The sequence below is a fragment of the Homo sapiens genome, chromosome 1, assembly GCF_000001405.40.
Source record: "Homo sapiens chromosome 1, GRCh38.p14 Primary Assembly".
Lineage (NCBI taxonomy): Eukaryota > Metazoa > Chordata > Mammalia > Primates > Hominidae > Homo > Homo sapiens.
Window position 1 is genome coordinate 14,199,878 of NC_000001.11, and position 17,261 is coordinate 14,217,138.

At 39.8% G+C, this 17,261-nt stretch overlaps 1 protein-coding gene and 1 long non-coding RNA gene across 8 annotated transcripts in view; both read left to right on the plus strand.

Annotated features, from left to right (window-relative positions):
• KAZN (kazrin, periplakin interacting protein) overlaps window positions 1–17,261 on the plus strand; it is a 1,225,220-nt gene that overhangs the window by 307,054 nt on the left and 900,905 nt on the right. The gene's annotated exons all lie outside the window — the stretch shown is intronic.
• LOC107985467 (uncharacterized) overlaps window positions 2,068–17,261 on the plus strand; it is a 53,718-nt gene continuing 38,524 nt past the window's right edge. For both annotated transcript variants that reach the window (XR_001737610.2, XR_001737611.2), the window contains exon 1: window positions 2,068–16,609. This is a non-coding gene — a long non-coding RNA (uncharacterized LOC107985467). The remainder of the gene's footprint in view (window positions 16,610–17,261) is intronic.

Here is a 17,261-nt window from a genome sequence, read left to right on the forward strand (position 1 = left end):
GGACAGATTATAAATTCTGCAAACTGTTTTCTACCTGACACCTTCCTTCTGCTTGGCCTTACTCTTAGAAAGAGCGCTACTGAAATTTAAGGAAGCCACAGCATTGACGTTATCAAACGACTGCTTCATTTCATTTGTATCACAGATAAAAGTAGTTAATATTTCTCTGCTGTTTAACTTTTCTTTGATGCATGCATATCCTATGTAGTCTTGTTTTTGTTGTTTTAAACCCTATCTCTTGCTCACAACAGTGAAAAATTGGAAACCAAATAAAAATCCAATAATATTTGATTGGGTAAATGAATTTGAGCTCATCCCTAGAGTAAAATACCCTAGAACCATTAAACGCAATTAGGTAGATCTATGTTTATTGACATGAAAACATGTCCATAATAAATTGGTAAATTTTAAAAAAGCTTAGAAGAAAGTACACAGAAATATTAACAGAAGTGATCTCTGAACAGTGAGATAATAGTTTTTATTTCATCCTTTCTTTTTTTTGAATTTCTATAGTATGTTATTTTCACAACTAGTAGGGGAAAACACTTCCCCATATGGAAAAAAATTTTAAAAACAAGTTTAGAAGAAATACATGTCTTACTTGCTAACATTTATTATTCTATGGAACTACCCCTAGTCTCCTAAAAGGGCAGCAAATTTGGATTGAGCCCAGTTTGTTTCTGCATATGCATATGTTATTTGTAATATATTGGTAACATATAGGCAAACACAGAAAGCCTACTGTTAAAATGTGTAATATGGCATGTGCTTTGTGAAGCAAGTGCAATTGTGTGTCTATATACATTTTGTATGCATATATCTTGTCCTGTATTCAGTATATTGTTTTTACTGAATTTATTTTTCTAAGCGAAGTACTTAATGCACAGCCTATTGAGATAACTGATTCATATTGCAATCCTCTCCACCACACCTGTGCTGGAAGTGAACACCCACCAAGAGTCTTGGTTACTTTTTTTTTTTTAATTTAATGATAATTTTTTGAAAGATAAAGCACCCAGCTGGCTGGCTCCATGGAGGACTATAGAGCTCCTGACAGCCTCATTAGTATTTGTTACTCAAACACAAACTTTCCTCAAGCGTTCCCAACACACCTGTGCTTCTTTCCTTTGATTGGCGCATGGCCTCTCCTGGTGCATGGCCTCTCCCGGCCCAATTTATCTTAGGGAGTGGTGTGCCTATTGGGTTAGATAATGAATGATGAGCAAAGATGGCCTTCAGAGATCTGGTTTTGCATCTCCACTGATAATGGTTCTCAGTTTTCACTGCCTGTGACAGACATTTCTTTTGAGCCATTTTTAATGTTCATTATTTTTTTCTTTAGCTAAACCTCTCGTCTTTCCTCTTTCCTTTTCTTCTTTTCCTCCACCTCTTTCCAACTCCAACTCAAAGTTTCTCTCTCACACAAGAAAGCACATGAGGTGTTTATCAGTTGATATTAGTAGTTGCAAATCTGCAGCGAGCTGTTAATGCACCCAGCACTCTAATTCCAGAGCATCGGACAGTCCCTGTGTCTCCAATGACATAGCTGACTGGCACTGGGCCCTGGCTGCCCCGGAGCAGCTGGTGGAGCCTGGCGGCTGCTCCCCAGGTCAAACCACCTACCCCCACTTTCATTCCCACCTCAGCCAGTCTGTCCTGCTCCTGAAAGGGACCTTTGTGTATGGACTCTGCAGACAAAGCCCCAGCATCAGTGCATCTCATCATTGGTTCATTTGGACTCCAACTCACTCAATCTAAGAAAGCCAGGTGAGATCCCCTGCCTTGGTACATTGTTCGTTTCTTTTCTTGAGGTGAAGTTTCGCTCTTGTTGCCCAGGCTGGAGTGCAATGGCAGGATCTCGGCTCACTGCAACCTCCGCATCCCAGGTTGAGGTGATTCTCCTGCCTTAGCCTCCCGAGTAGCTGGGATTACAGGCATGCACCACCACACCTGGCTAATTTTGTATTTTTAGTAGAGACAGGGTTTCTCCATGTTGGTCAGGCTGGTCTCAAATTCCCGACCTCAGGTGATCCGCCTGCCTCGGCCTCCCAAAGTGCTGGGATTACAGGCGTGAGCCACTGCGCCTGGCCCCTCGTTTTTTATTTTCTTTACTTATTTTATTTTCACAAACATGGAGTGCTTCTTAAATGCCAGATTCTGTGTAATCACTTTAATTTATGGAATCCTCTTAACCCAATGAGGTAAGTATCAACATCATTCCCATGTTTCAGATGGAAACTAGAGCAAGATGGGGGTCAGTAATCAACCCAAGACAACCACACAGGGTGAGTCCTGGAGGCAGGATTAGAACCAAGGCTGGCTCAGGAGCTCCTGCATTCAAGCTGCACACTATGTCCCTGGCTCTTCCTTGTCTGGGGTAGAACTGCAGGAGACACACGTGCGTTCTGCTACAGTTCAGGCTGCTTAGGAACAGCCATCAGTTTTCATCAGTTCCTCTTCTGAAGTTTTTAGGGAAGGCATTCTAAATATGTGACTAGCTGAGACAGCATTACCAACCTGGTCTCGCCTGGTGTGGGAATCACAGGAAAGCAGGCTTGTTCAGAAGGAAGCTTCTCCTGTATTGGAGGAGGGCTCTGTGATACCCCAGGTGCTGGGGTGCAGGGAAGAGAGCAGGGATGGTGTGGGGAGAACAAGTTCTGGATCCAGTGGAACTACTCACTTGCTAGGTGACTTTCTGAAATGTCCCTTAACTTCTGTGGGGAGTGTTTGGGTCTACAAGATGGGAACATTATTATTTTAGCTAGTGACCTCAGGAGTGTCAGAAAGGAGGCAGCTAGTATTCCAAAGGGCATATATTACAGGTAAGTCACTATGCTAGATATTTTCACATTTCCCCTATTGAAGCAATAACCATGGGAAGATAAAAATCATGATCAGGGAGGCTGAGGCAGGCAGATCACCTGAGATCAGGAGATCGAGACCAGCCTGGCCAACATGCCAAAATCCCGTCTCTACTAAACATATAAAAAGTTAGCTGGGCATGGTCGTGGGCGCCTGTAATCCCAGCTACTTGGAGGCTGAGGCAGGAGAATTGCTTGAACCTGGGAGGCAGAGCTTGCCGTGAGCCGAGATCGCACCACTGCACTCCAGCCTGGGCGACAAGAGCAAAACTCCGTCTCAAAAATCATCATAGATAGGAAAGTGTTTTAGAAAATTGGGTGCTTTGCAAATATAAGGAATTCTTATGATAAAAAGTATGTTGCATTATACTAGATAATAAATAATAAGAAGCCTATCGTGACGTATTTTAAGTGGTTATGGACTGTATTCCCAAAATGAGATAGACAGTGAAAAATGGATTCTGTATAATGCATCAAATAGATTTTGGAAGAGTGGAGTGCGAGAGGAAATATCCAGTGTCTGCATACAGTAGGGGATCAATAAATACTTCATTAGAAGTGGATAATAGAGAATGGCTTCAGGGCACAGCCATGAACCTAAGTCGTAAGCCCTTTTCCTCTCCCACGAGTGTGTACTTAGGACTGAAGGCTACACTACATTACCCAACAGTTGCTAGTCTTCACTCCTTAATCCTTTTCTTTTAAAATTGTATTAATTACTCACTTCTGGAATGTGTAATATGCTTCAGTCTTGGTTCTAGATATAAGAATATGTTTGAAAGTTTAAGAAATGATGGTATTTCAATTAGAGGAAAGAGATGGGGATTTCAGGCTGAAACAGAGATTCACATCCCTCGATTTGACAAAGTAATAATTGACTCGAGAGTCCAGGGCCTTCTGAAAAGGTGGCCTTCACTAAAAACAAAATGTTATCCCATAACCCAATAAACTTAGGTACAACTCAATGTGCGCTAAAGTAATTTTAGAAACCATCATTTCATTTCAGCAGTAAATGCAGCTCAAAGTGGTATGAATTCCCCATTAAGATGATATGGTAGGGAGAGTGAAAGAATCTTTCAGTACAATCCATTTATTTTAGTGTCCCAAATGTTCATAGCAACAGGAGCAAACGTGGTTGCAGCTGCCATTATGGTCAGCCTCCTGTCACCGTGGGAAATGGATGGCCTCTCCTTAGCCACCAACCTGCACTGCCTCCACAACAGAGGATTCATCAGTGTTCTCCAGAGAGTGGAATAGAAATCACATTTGGGTGTGTTGCAAATTAAACTTTTAATAGAAAACCCAAGAAAGAAGCTTTGCACATTTATTTTATGGGTTACTGCTTTTGGAGAAGGAAAAGAGATTGGAAGTAGGATAGTGCAGTTAAGACTGGTTGACCCGTTCTTTGAAAATCTTCCTTTTGGAATATTTGCATGCTTCCTGAAACTTGAGGTTTCTTTTCCATTTCACTCTGGTTTTCTCATTATTTTCCAAATAATCACCAGAAATGACTTCTTCACGATTATTCTTTCTCCTCACAAACACTTCTGAGGCTTCTGAGCCATACCTTGTATAGGACATGCCAGGATTCATTTGTTATTTCTGACCTTTGAAAAAGAAATCATGGAGCACAGACAAGGTAGTGCAGACAACCTTTTCTTCAAAGGAGAATGGTCCATTTATATGGCTACTAAACTGCTAATGTCTTTACTTTAAAATAGTAAATAAAACTGACATTAAGTTATGACAGATTAAAAATCAGGCAAAATAATTTGATCTTTATTTCTTCCACAAGGAGAAACAAATTTGTTTTATATTTTATTTAATCTTCCCTTTTCTCTGGCTATCCTATTTTTGTAAATGAAAAAGAAAATATTTAGTCATATGGCCTTAGAATTATTAAAAGGTGACAAATGTAAAGAATGGTTCAACTTCTGGGATTAAAAAAACCTTTTATTTATATCTATGGAATTACAGAATTAACAAGGCATGGACTAATTTCTGCCCAGGCATGTAGAGTCGCAAAGTTATGGCATATTTCAGCTGGCATAATTCATGTGATAGGTGACACCTAATTAGAAAAGATAATATTGGAACTCAGTTCTGCTAGCCTCTTGCAGACTTGCAAGAATGGAGAAGAGGGAAGTGTACTAGGGAATGCTAACTGCTGTCAGAGATAAACTGAAATCTCAGCAACTTAACTAATAAAATCTGATTTCTTGCCAATATGAAGTTCTAAGAAGGTGTTCTTGATTTCCTGGAAGTCCAAGACATTATGTGGCCTTCCATGCAGCTGGTCACTCAGGGAGCCAGGCTGCTTCTATCTCCAATTCTTCATTCAGGAGGCAGATGGGGAAGAGGCTGAAAGTTGCAGGTGGTAGGTTAATAAAGGCCATGACTGAGCAGCCATCACTTACACCTACATGTAATTCACTGGTACTTTAAGTCTCATGACTGTAATAAGCCCAAAGAAGGCTGGAAAATGTAATTCAGCTGTGTTCTCAGGAGAGCGAGGAAATGGGTTTAGTAGTCAGCTCACCTAGTCTCTGGCACAGGGAGCAAAGTCCCTGAGTATCAGGAATGATAAAGTAGAGCTTGAAGGAAGATTCAGGAGTTGGGTCAATTTACAGCAGAAGAGGAAGCTGTGAAGAGGTAATAAAAATGTTCACTATTGTCATGAACTAATGTATGGCAATTCCCATTGTTCCATGCCCTAGCCTGCATCATAATTGTTAGAAATTTCCAATTTAATTTATTGTAAAGATTTTTTAATGGAATTGATACACTGTGGCAGTGAAAACAGGATTTTCTGTATAGCCAGCATTGCGAAAACACATCCTGTTGGTGAACACATACATCAATTAAAATGTCACCCATGGCTCACACCTGTAATCTGAGCACTTTGGGAGGCCGAGGTGGGCAGATCACGAGGTCAGGAGATCAAGGCCATCCTGACCAACATGGTGAAACCCCGTGTCTACAAAAAATGCAAAATAAATTAGCTGGGTGTGGTGATGCATGCCTGTAATCCTAGCTACTTGGGAGGCTAAGGCAGGAGAATCGATTGAACCCAAGAGGCAGAGGTTGCAGTGAGCCAAGATTGCGCCACTGCACTCCAGCCAGGCGACAGAGCAAGACACTGTCTCAAAAAAAAAAAAAAAAAAAAAAGCTACCTAATGTTAAATGACGAGTTTAATGGGTGCAACACACCAACGTGGCGCATGTATACATATGTAAGAAGCCTGCATGTTGTGCACATGTACCCTAAAACTTAAAGTATAATAAATAAATTTTTTAAAAAAGCCACCCAAAGATAGGTAAACATTACTGCATGGGCAATGTATATTCCTACCTGTAAGTAATGAGTTATCAAGGGAATTATTACAGAATCAAATTTCTCATTTCCATTTTTAATTTTTCAGTAATATAACTATGTAAGAGAAAATTTAGAAAATACAACAGGTTAATATTTTCTTTAATCTGTGTTCTAGTCCACAAAGTCAGCTGACTTTTTGTTTTTTTCTTTTCTGATTTTTTAAAAAAGAAATATAGATGCATGCAGAACAGAAACAGAATAATTGTACTTATATTTCACCTGCAGTTTTGAATTTTGGTCAATAATAATTAGAAAAGTTATTCTTCCTGCTCAGTATTCATTGCAGTGGCCTCACCACACCAGTAGAAGAAAGAAAATCTTTGGTAAAATTGTCCTATTCTCAAAGTGGACTCTTTGGTGATTTGTTGTAGCCTCCCTCTCTCTGAATGTAATGGTAACAGCTTTAGAGTCTATGGTAACTAGACATCATCATCCTCTTAATCTTACCAAGAGGAAGTATAGTTAAAACAAGTGTTTTAAAAAAAATAAAATCTTTTAGTTTTTATAACATTTTTAAACAAAATTATAATTTTCCTTTTATGTATACCCAGTACCATCCCTTTTAAACCTAACTTCATGAGCATTTTCTTTTTTTTTTTTTCAAATTCCCTATTCTGAGAAGCACTCGTGAGCATTTTCCCATGCCATTAAACATTCTTCAAATTGAGTTGTTGATAGCTGTATAATATGCCATAACGTGGCCATGCCTGCATTGAATCAGCCATTCTCCTATAACCGAGCACTCAGGTTGCTTCCAGGTTTTTCTTTGCTCTAAATAACTCTGTGATAAATGGTAGAGTAAATGATTCTGTGCATTTCTACATCCTTTCTTTTCTTCTTCTTTTTCTTTCTTTCTTTTTTTTTTTGAGATGGAGTTTCACTCTTGTTGCCCAGGCTGGAGGGCAGTGGTGTAATCTCAGCTCACTGCAACTTCTGCCTCTCGGGTTCAAGTGATTCTCCTGCCTCAGCCTCTCAAGTAGCTGGGATTACAGGCACGTGGCATCATACCCAGCTAATTTTTGTATTTTTGGTAGAGATGGAGTTTTGCCATGTTGGCCAGGCTGGTCTCGAACTCCTGACCTCAGGTGATCTGCCCACCTCAGCCTCCCAAAGTGCTAGGATTACAAGTGTGAGCCACCATGCCTGGCCCATTTTTACATCCTTTTTTACCATAAATTGCTCGGGTGATGTTAGGAGGTTAAAGGAAATGAGTACTTCTCAAGGTTTTGTTGCTTATTGTCAGCTTCCTGACCTTTAGTATGCTGAACCCTTTTGCTGTAGTGATTCTGAATGTCCCCTCCCAACCCGAGCATCATGTTTTTCAAAGCTTTGCTGTGATGATCAAAATATCAAAACTTGAAATGAAGGCAGAATTTAACCCTACACTTGCACAATATGATCTCACTCACTCACTCACTCACCTATTTTGTCTTTATTTCAAATTTTGATATTTTGTACCTTGTGAACTATTTTTGCATTAATCAAAAATATATTGTTTTAAAATGTTATCTTGATTACCGAGTTTTTTGGCACCCCTTTAAATTTGGGGGCTGGGTGAGCGCCCCTTTCACTTCATCTGTATCCTGGCCATTTTAGAATCCTGGTGAGTTGGAACATTCTAGAATGCCCAGGGACATTCTAATATCTGAGAAAAAAACATCTTAGGACTTAGATTACTAAGCTTATGAAAGATCAAAGACGATCAAGAGCTAGAGGGCCACACAAGACCTGCTGTGGGGTGGTTCACAAATGGCTGAAAATGGACAGGCCAAGGAGGGCCCATGCTGGCTGATGGCAGATAATGGTGGTATCAGAACTTGCTTTGAAGCTTTTGCAACAAGACGTTCTATTCTCCTGATGCACATGCTTCACAAAGATTCCCCCTGAAACTGCCATTCCCCTCTCATTTGTTGAAAATATCGTTTACTGGAGCTGTGCACCCTATTACTTTTGGCTTTGATCTTTTTGAGTCTAATCACGGACTAAGAGTGTCCATGCTGTTTGGGCTGATTTAACACCAAAGCAAAGGAGGATTATCTCCTGTATTCATAATGATACTTCTCCATCCCCTAAGGTGGAGGAGACAAAGGCTAATGGTTCGCAGAAGGATGGTAACCGGACATAATGTACAGCTATCTGTGTTTAGAAATCAAGTTATCATTTTAATTCTAGAAGTATTTCTCATATAAACATATACATGGTTGTCAATAGTAAAGGTTATATAAAAAATAGCTCTTTAAAATTATCAAGGTAGTTTGCACAATGCTAAATATTAACTCTCATTCATTGACTCATTCATTCACTCGTTGACTCGTTCACTTATTTATTTACTGGGCATTTATTATGTGCCAGATATGGTAGGTAGCCTCTGAGTAGACAGAGTGAAAAAAAGCCGGTAGTCTCTACTCTCACAGAGTTGACAGTTGGGTGGGAGAGATAGATAATAAATGAAATAATCACTTTGTAATTACAAATAGCAATGAGTATAAGAAAAGAGTAAAGTGCCCTGAATGTCTTCTTAATGTCCTGCACTTTGCCAAGCTGAGCTTTTATTGTCTTTTCATCCTGAGAATAATGCTGCAGCATGGATATAATTTTCTGCATTTAACTGATGGTAAAATAAAGGGTAGTCTCAGCCAGCAACATGCTGAGGGTCTCCTAGAGATAGGTAGAAGTGGAGGTGGGTTTATAACTTGAGGGGTTGAGTCACGGCCTATGGTCTTACCTCTCCAAGAGTTGCTTCTTCAATCATTTGCTACCCAAACTCCATTCTCATGCCCCACAACCCCCTTGAGATTCTAAGAGGTTCATAGACATTCCTGCATTCTTACTTTGAGTTAGGAACTATGATGAGAATTGAACACAAGAGCCTCGCAGGACATCACAGTGTCTGTTTTAGAGAACATGTTGCTATGCAACTGAATGCTTGTACATTATCTCTGCTCCCCTATGCCCCCACCACTACCCTGCTCTAGAACTTGGGGAGGTCAAGCAAAGGAAAATTAGGATCTCGGCTGCTATGCCGAGTAGCCGTGGTTACCCAGATCCCTCCTTCGTGCTGACCCATCACAGCAAAGGAAAAAAAGAGAACCTTTCAGGAATACCTCAAGATTTTTCTATTAGTACATCAGCTCCATTCCATTGAGAAACCAGAACCAGAAACCACACTGTCACCCACCAGTTAGGTGACTTACTCGCTACTCCTTGGTGTGGCATGGGGGAGACTGGCCCAAGAGGCCTGGAGGTCCCTCCACGTGGAAATATAAGAACCAGGGGAGATGTTTTTTTCCAGCATACCCCATCTCCATTTCAGTAAGTAAAACCCTATGCCTTCTGGGCAGCTATAACCTTTGGAAAAATCTGCCTGCCCTTCACAAATACTTTTTAAATTTATATGCATTTTCTTTTATAGAGATAAGGATTATAATATTAATAAATTAAGGCATAAAAACACCAGTTTAAATAATCAAGGGAGTAGTGTAGATAACTATAGTGCAAATGTGGCACTAATAAATTTACTACTAACAATTTCTTATCTACAGACCTGGACCAAAGTTCCAATTATGTAGGCAGGTGAATATCAGGATAACAGTTCATGTATTTATAACTGGTAATTGTAATTGTTTGTATAGCAGTTCAATATTGGCTATTAATATGCACCTGGCTATGTATACCCATGCAAAGGTGGCCTACATCACTGTGTCCCCAATGATGACAATCTGGACATCAGCATACAGCCAGGCCTGTTATTGGTACCCACTGAGAGTTGCCCTTCCAGACGAGCTGCTACTGTTTGTGGGGCCTGGAACTGTGAATGACTGATCCTTGGGTTTTATGTCTCCCTCTGATGTAGCTTCATCCTGTCCCTGCCCAGATTCATTCCTTCAGCAGGCATTCATATGCCTGTTTGAGGCCAGCGGTGGTGCTGGTTTCTGTAGCATGATGAGAAAGGAAGATACTTGATATGGTTTGGCTGTGTCCCCACCCAAATCTCATCTTGAATTGTAGCTCCTATAATCCCCACATATCATGAGAGGGACACAGTGGGAGGTAATTGAATCATAGGGGTGGGTTTTTCCCATGCTGTTCTTGTGATGGTGAATAAGTCTCATGAGAGCTGATGGTTTTATAAAGGCCAGTTCCCCTGCACATGCTGTCTTGCCTGCTGCCATGTAAGATGTGCCTTTGCTCCTCCTTCGCCTTCTGCCATGATTGTGAGGCTTCCCCAGCCATGTGGAACTGTGAGTCCATTAAACCTCTTTTTCTTTATAAATTACCCAGTCTCGGGTATGTCTTTATTAGCAGTGTGAGAATGCACTAATACAACACTTACATAGTCATCCTGCAGTTGGATGCCTGCTACAGTGGAGGTGAAACAAATTGTGAACAATGGGGTCTAAACCTTCTCCCTAATGAATATATTAATTAAACATGCATATGGGCAGGCAAATTCTCAAACTTTTTGGTTAGAACTAACCCCATTGCACTCTTAAAAATTACTAAGGACCCCTAAGAATCTTGATCTATATGGGTTAAATCTATCAATATTTACCACAGGGCAATTAAAACTGAAGCATTTTTGAAATGTTTATTTATTTTAAAACAATAATAATAAACCCATTTTATGTTAACATAAATAGCATACTTATAAAAATTATTATACTAAACAAAATATTGAGAAGAATGTCATTATGGTATATTTCTGCAAATCTCTTTAATGTGAGGCTTCATAAGAGACACGTAGAATCTTAAATCTGCTCCTACAATTAATCTGTGACAATATCACACTGTTCATATGTCAATGTAGCCTCTGGAAAACTCCACTGTACACTCATTGGAGAATAAGAGTAAAAAGACAATTAATCTCTTAAAATTATAGATTATTATAATTATTATAAAAATAGTCTTTACCTCTTAGATGGAAGATTTGGGAGACACACAGGAGTTCCCATGTAACACTTTGAGAACCCCTGTTTTATGGTGTTCTATTCTAAGTGTGCACTCACTGAAGGCACTCATACACCCAAATTGCAGAGAAGTCTTTGGATTTGAATCACAGTGTTCAACTATTTGTCCACAATTCAAACCTATCTCTATTTGTTTATTTATTTTTATTTTATTTTTGAGATGTAGTCTTGCTCTGTCGCCCAGGCTGGAGTGCAGTGGCACAATCTCGACTCACTGCAAGTTCCGCCTCCCGGGTTCACACCATTCTCTCGCCTCAGCCTCCCGAGTAGCTGGGACTACAGGCACCCACCACCACACCCAGCTAATTTTGTTTTTGTATTTTTAGTAGAGACAGAGTTTCATTGTGTTAGCCAGGATGGTCTCGATCTTGTGACCTCGTGATCTGCCCGCCTCGGCCTCCCAAAGTGCTGGGGTTACAGGCGTGAGCCACCGTGCCGGGCCTATCTTTTTTTAATTTGTAATTTTTATTTCAAGAATAGGGAAGATAAGACTGGGAAATACATTGACGGCAGAGAACTAGGGTCAGTGGTCCTCTGGAGATGTCTTGTATGGGCTTGAGAGAGCTGATTAATTGAATGTTCCAGGATTTGACCTGTTGTTAAACTATTAATAGCTTAAAATTGGCCATGATGGGAATATTTACACCATGGAAATAAGCAAATGCTACAAATCGGGGCTTCTCTCCTACAAAATTTTCCAAATTTATCAGCTTACCACTTGTTATAGTTCTTAACCCCAAGCTTTTTTTTTTTCCTTGGTTTTGTTTTGGTTTTATTGTTTTAAACTGAGTGCATTCACATAGGCAGGCAAGCTCCTTGGTGCCATAGCCCCTTCACCCCGTTAATTTTGTCCTATCCCCCAGCCTGGTTCCCACATGTATACAGACAACTCTGCCACAAGCCCAGCCTTCTTAGGAATTTGTGTTTATCTCAGTGGTTTCTGGTTTTCTCTTGTGTGTGAGGGCTGGAACACCTCTTATGAATGGTCCACGGCTTTCACTCCTTCCATTGATAATGTTTGCTGCGAATGTTTTGGTGAAATCTTTCAAGAACCATGGCCATCCCCCTTCTTTTAAAGCCAAAACAGCACCAGTGCCTGGCACGGGTTATGCAGACGGTTGGCATCATCCCCTGCTAGGATTTACTATTATTTGGAAATTAATGATGGCTTCGTCTTTTCAGGAGTGGGGAGGGGAGCTGTGATTGACGAAACCTCTCTTTGACCATCTGTTTCTTTCCTTCAAGGCACTGCTTTTCACAGCCTTAAAATTTGAGAGAAATTATGCTAAGTGATCACAAATTTTCTTTAAAGTTTTACTTCAAAGGAAAACAAAAGAAAGCCTTTCAAAAAGACGACTAGCTCTTTTTCTGGAGGTCAATATACCACAGATTATAAGCCAGAAAAAAAAAAAAAAGGTAAAATGAGATTTTTGCTTGGATTTGTTTTTAATTAAGACCTAAATCATGATTCTCTTAGAATGGAATAGAAAGTGACAGTAGCTCTGAGACCTACTTGATCAATTTTGCAATATCCCAGCTGCCAGCAGGGAAATGAGAGGAGGTAGGTATATCCAGAAGAATTCCTTTATATCCAGTTGACAGCCACCAGCACCAGTGCAAGTCAGGACATCTTACTATTTCTAACCTCCCACCTCCAGAAACAAAGCTGATTATATTTGTCTGTTCCTTCCAGTAGGAAATTTTATGAATCTTGTCCTCAAAAGCTTTCTGAAAACCCACCTCTCCTCCTAGCCAATTCGAAGGCCTAAATGTCTTGATTTTATGCAATGCAAATACATGAAAATATAGTTTTATCCATGAAATTAAAGAGGATACCAATGATTCACTTTACACTGGGATTCTTATAGGATTTCTTTAATTAATAAATCCCTATAATGAATTCAAAATGACATCTGTTGTTCAGGAATTAAATGTACACTCCACTTTTCAGGAATGTGTTTATTTTACCAAACAGGATACATACCTGTATTTAGCATCCTCTACTTGGGAAGATTTTCTTATATGTAAATTTTCTGTATTTATTTAAAGGCTATTTTAGCATATTATTTCTTAAGTAGATATGGAAAATCATTTATGTTTTTCCAGCACTTGTATCCTTTTTCTTTTGAGAACATCAGGTACACGGGGTTGATTTCATCATGCCCCTTGGTTGCTGGCTCACTGTTCTCACTGGGTCATGCAGAGTCCTTCTCTCGTGCTACTAAGACTCCCTCTTCCTCCCATCCCCTCCGGCCTAAATAGGAAACTAGAACCAAGAAATATGATGGAATATGCCACTGGTGTTAGGAATGGCAATTTTACATAGGATGGCCTGTTTGTAGCACAGGCCTGAAGAGATGAAGTAGGGATTCATGGAGATGTATAGGGGAGGAGTATCCAAGACAGAGGAGGGCAAGTGCAAAGGTCTTAAGGTTAGAATGCACCTGCCATGTTTGCAGAGTGGCACAGAGGCCAGTATGGTTGAAACAGAGCCAGTGAGGGAGAGAAGTAGAGGTTAGTTGGTTAGAAAGGTCAGAAAGGTCACTTATAGGCTGTGATAAGGACTTTGGCTTTTACTTTCAAGAAACCAGTAGAGGGTTTGAAGCCAAAGAATTATGTGATTTGACTTACTTTTAAAAGGAACATTCTGACTATGTTGGGGGGAGACTAGTCTATGTGGGAGCAGGGAAGATTAGAAGCAGGGGGTCTAGTTATGAGGCTACCTGTGGTGGCCCAGAGGACAGCTGGTAGTGGCTCAGATTAGCACAGTAGCAGTAGAAGTGTCAGGAGCCTAGGCATATTTTTAAGAACCAACACGATTTACTGATGCATCATATGTGGGACACACAAGTGTGAAGAGCAAATGGGATGATGGAGGTGGCCACTTACCAAGAGTGAAGATGGTGGTCTGAGCAGATTTGGCGTGGGCTTAAGGAGTTGGGATTTGGAAATGCCAAGTTTGAGGTGCCTATTAGACATGCAAGAAGAGACATTGGAATAGGAAAATGGATATGCAAGTCTGGATTTCAATTTGGGGAATCATCTATGTATAATTGATTTTTAAAATCATGAGATTGGATGAGATCATCAAAGATGTGAATATAAGTAGAAGAAGAAATGATCCAAGGACCCGGTCTTACCTCACCTCACTCCGGCTTTCTTTGGAGTGTACATCGTTATCTGACATGATCACATACATGAATTTGCTTATCGGTTTGTTGTCTTTCTTTCCAAACTCAAGGCAAGATTATGCCAGTGGGGGCTGTGTTGGTTTTATGCACTGCTTTACTCAGCACCACAACCATGTCTGAAATAAGGTGTAGTCAATAAATATTTTTTAAATTAAAGAATTTAAAAATCTGCAGATAACCCCCAACTCAGCTTAATTGACAATCTCAACCTTCTTACTCTACAGCTTCCAATAAATGCTTATGGGACTTGAAAAATAAGTAGCAAAATATATGATTTTTCATTTACTTTCCTAATCCTTTCCTAGAAGGACATGAAAATAGTAGAATTATCTAAACACAATAAAGGGGAGAAAGAGGAGGAGGTGCTAAAGACATATTTTTCAAGAACCAACAAGATTTACTGATGGATTGTATATGAGATGTAAAAGAGCATGAAAAACAAATAGAATAGAGGTAGCCACTTACCAAGAGAATGAAGACTGTGGTACAAGATGATTTGGATAGTGGAGCTGGGGAGTTGACTTAATTTAGTCTGTGAGCACAATTGCAAGTGCATTGTGCCCAAGGCCGTGTGCTGAGCACAAGGAATGCAGAGTAGAAGACACAGCCCCTATCCTCAAGAACTTATGGTTGGGAAGGAATGATAGAAAACACAGGTAAGGTGATAAATTGTGCTGAGGTTGGAAAAGCTTAGTAAATCAAATGAAAAATTAAAAATAGCTTTAGGCTATGCAACATTTAGGTATGCAGAAAGACATGCCTGCATTTCTTTCATAAAGCTTTTTGGTAATCTCATGTTTCTAACTTAAGTGTTCTTGGAGTAATGTGTACATTAAGCATTTATCAAAAAAGTCATTTCTCACGTGGGGAGCTATGAAATTGACAAAGTTTGGATTTGAAGTGACAAAGCCCTTCAGGAAATTCTTCTAATAATTTTCTGTGTTTGACACCAATTCATTAGATAAGTATGATGTAGAAGGAATGAGAGCTGTGTGATTGTCATTACAGGTTATTCATTTTTTAGGCTGTGTCAGGAGAGTCCCCAGAGTGTGGCTTGTAGGATTTATTTAACCAAAATGATTGTATCATTGATCACCAAATTCCTTCCTGATGAACAGACTTGGAAGGAATGTGGGAAGGGCCTGCTGCTCTAGACCTTAGTCCCACCAGTGCTTACATATTCCCATTTATCCTAACAACTGGGGATTCAAAGGTCTACTAATATTCTGAGGCCAAAGCTGGGTAGTATTAGAGGGAATTTTGATATTTCATTTAAGTTGCAGTTGAATAGCCTTAACTTTCTGCACAACGATTGGTTCTTTTTGGTGAAGGTTTCCTTTTTGAAATGAAGAAAACTGCTATAGGTCTGGCGCTTTGGCTTTATAAAGGTACTGTTGTCTTTGCTTTTCAGGTAAAGAAACTGAAGCCTACAGAAAAGCTTATTCAAGCCCATGCAAATAATAATTGGTGAGGGTGGATTTGAACCCAGGTCTGATAGGCTCTAATCTATGTAAACCATATTATTCTGGCTCTCTCAAGGCTTGTGCTATAGAATCCAAGAACTAGAGATGAACTGAGAGGTCAGGGAGGCTAAGCTTCTCATTAATGTTCATCCAACTTCTACAGGAATAATGTCTTTAATTATATTTCTTTTTTCCCAGCTAAAACATACTATATTTCAATTTGTATTACTATATCAATAACATACAAAAATATAAATATCTTGGAATATTGTGGCAGTGGCAGAAGAAGTTTTAAATATCCTCAATTTTTTTAAAAAATAGAGCAAAAAGATAGCAAAACCAAAACACATGAATGTCATTAACAAATTAAATTGACAAAAATATGATTTTGGGGAGACAAATCATTAATAGCAACAAGGGCCCACATTATATCAGCCATAATTTAGCAGGAGGAAGCTAAGGGGAGAAACAAAGCAGTTGACATGCCTCAGGATCCCCAAATGTCCAACATGTACTCAATGGAAAGTAGCCAAAACTGGGAGAGGCTTTGTGTACTCTACTAGCAGGTGAATAAAAAGAGTTAACAGTAAGATCTAAAGGAGTGGAATGGTCTGGGTTTCTTGAACATTTGAAACTTCCTTCCAGGGTAGTCACTCACTGAGGACAAACTGTTGAGAGCAGGACCCAAACTGAGCAGTATAAAGACAAGGGAAAGAGAAGGTAAAGATAAAAGTGGAAGAAGTGCCTAGAGGTAAGAGATCTCAGAGAACAAGCTGCTGTATGTTTTGAAAACTGCATGAAAACGAAAGGAGAAGGTGCTGTAAAGCCTAAAGTTGGAAAAGTTAGTAAAACTATACTGAACTATATCCCGATTAAAAGTTGAAAAGATGCTGAGCGTGTTGGCTCATACCTGTAATCCCAGCACTTTGGGAGGCTGAGGCAGGTGGATGACCTGTCAGGATTTCAAGAACAGCCTGGTCAACATGGCAAAACCCCGTCTCTACTAAAAATACAAAAGATTAGCTGGGAGTGGTGGTGGGAGCCTGTAATCCCAGCTACTCAGGAGGCTGAGGCTGGAGAATTGCTTGAACCCAGGAGGCGGAGGCTTCAGTGAGCTGAGATCTCACCATTGCACTACAGCCTAGGTGACAAGAGTGGAACTCTGTCTCAAAAAATAAAAAAAGTTTAAAAGAGCAAATTTTACATAGAAATGGGCAACAGGAAAAGATCACAGTTGCTACGGTTTGAGTATTTGTCACTTCCAAAACTTGTGTTGAAACTAATTGCCATTATAACAATATTAAGTAGTAGGACCTTTAATAAATAACTCAATTTAAGGGGGACTATGCTCTTATAAAAGGGAAAGTTCAGCCTCCTTTCCCTCTCTCTTTGCTCTTCTACCA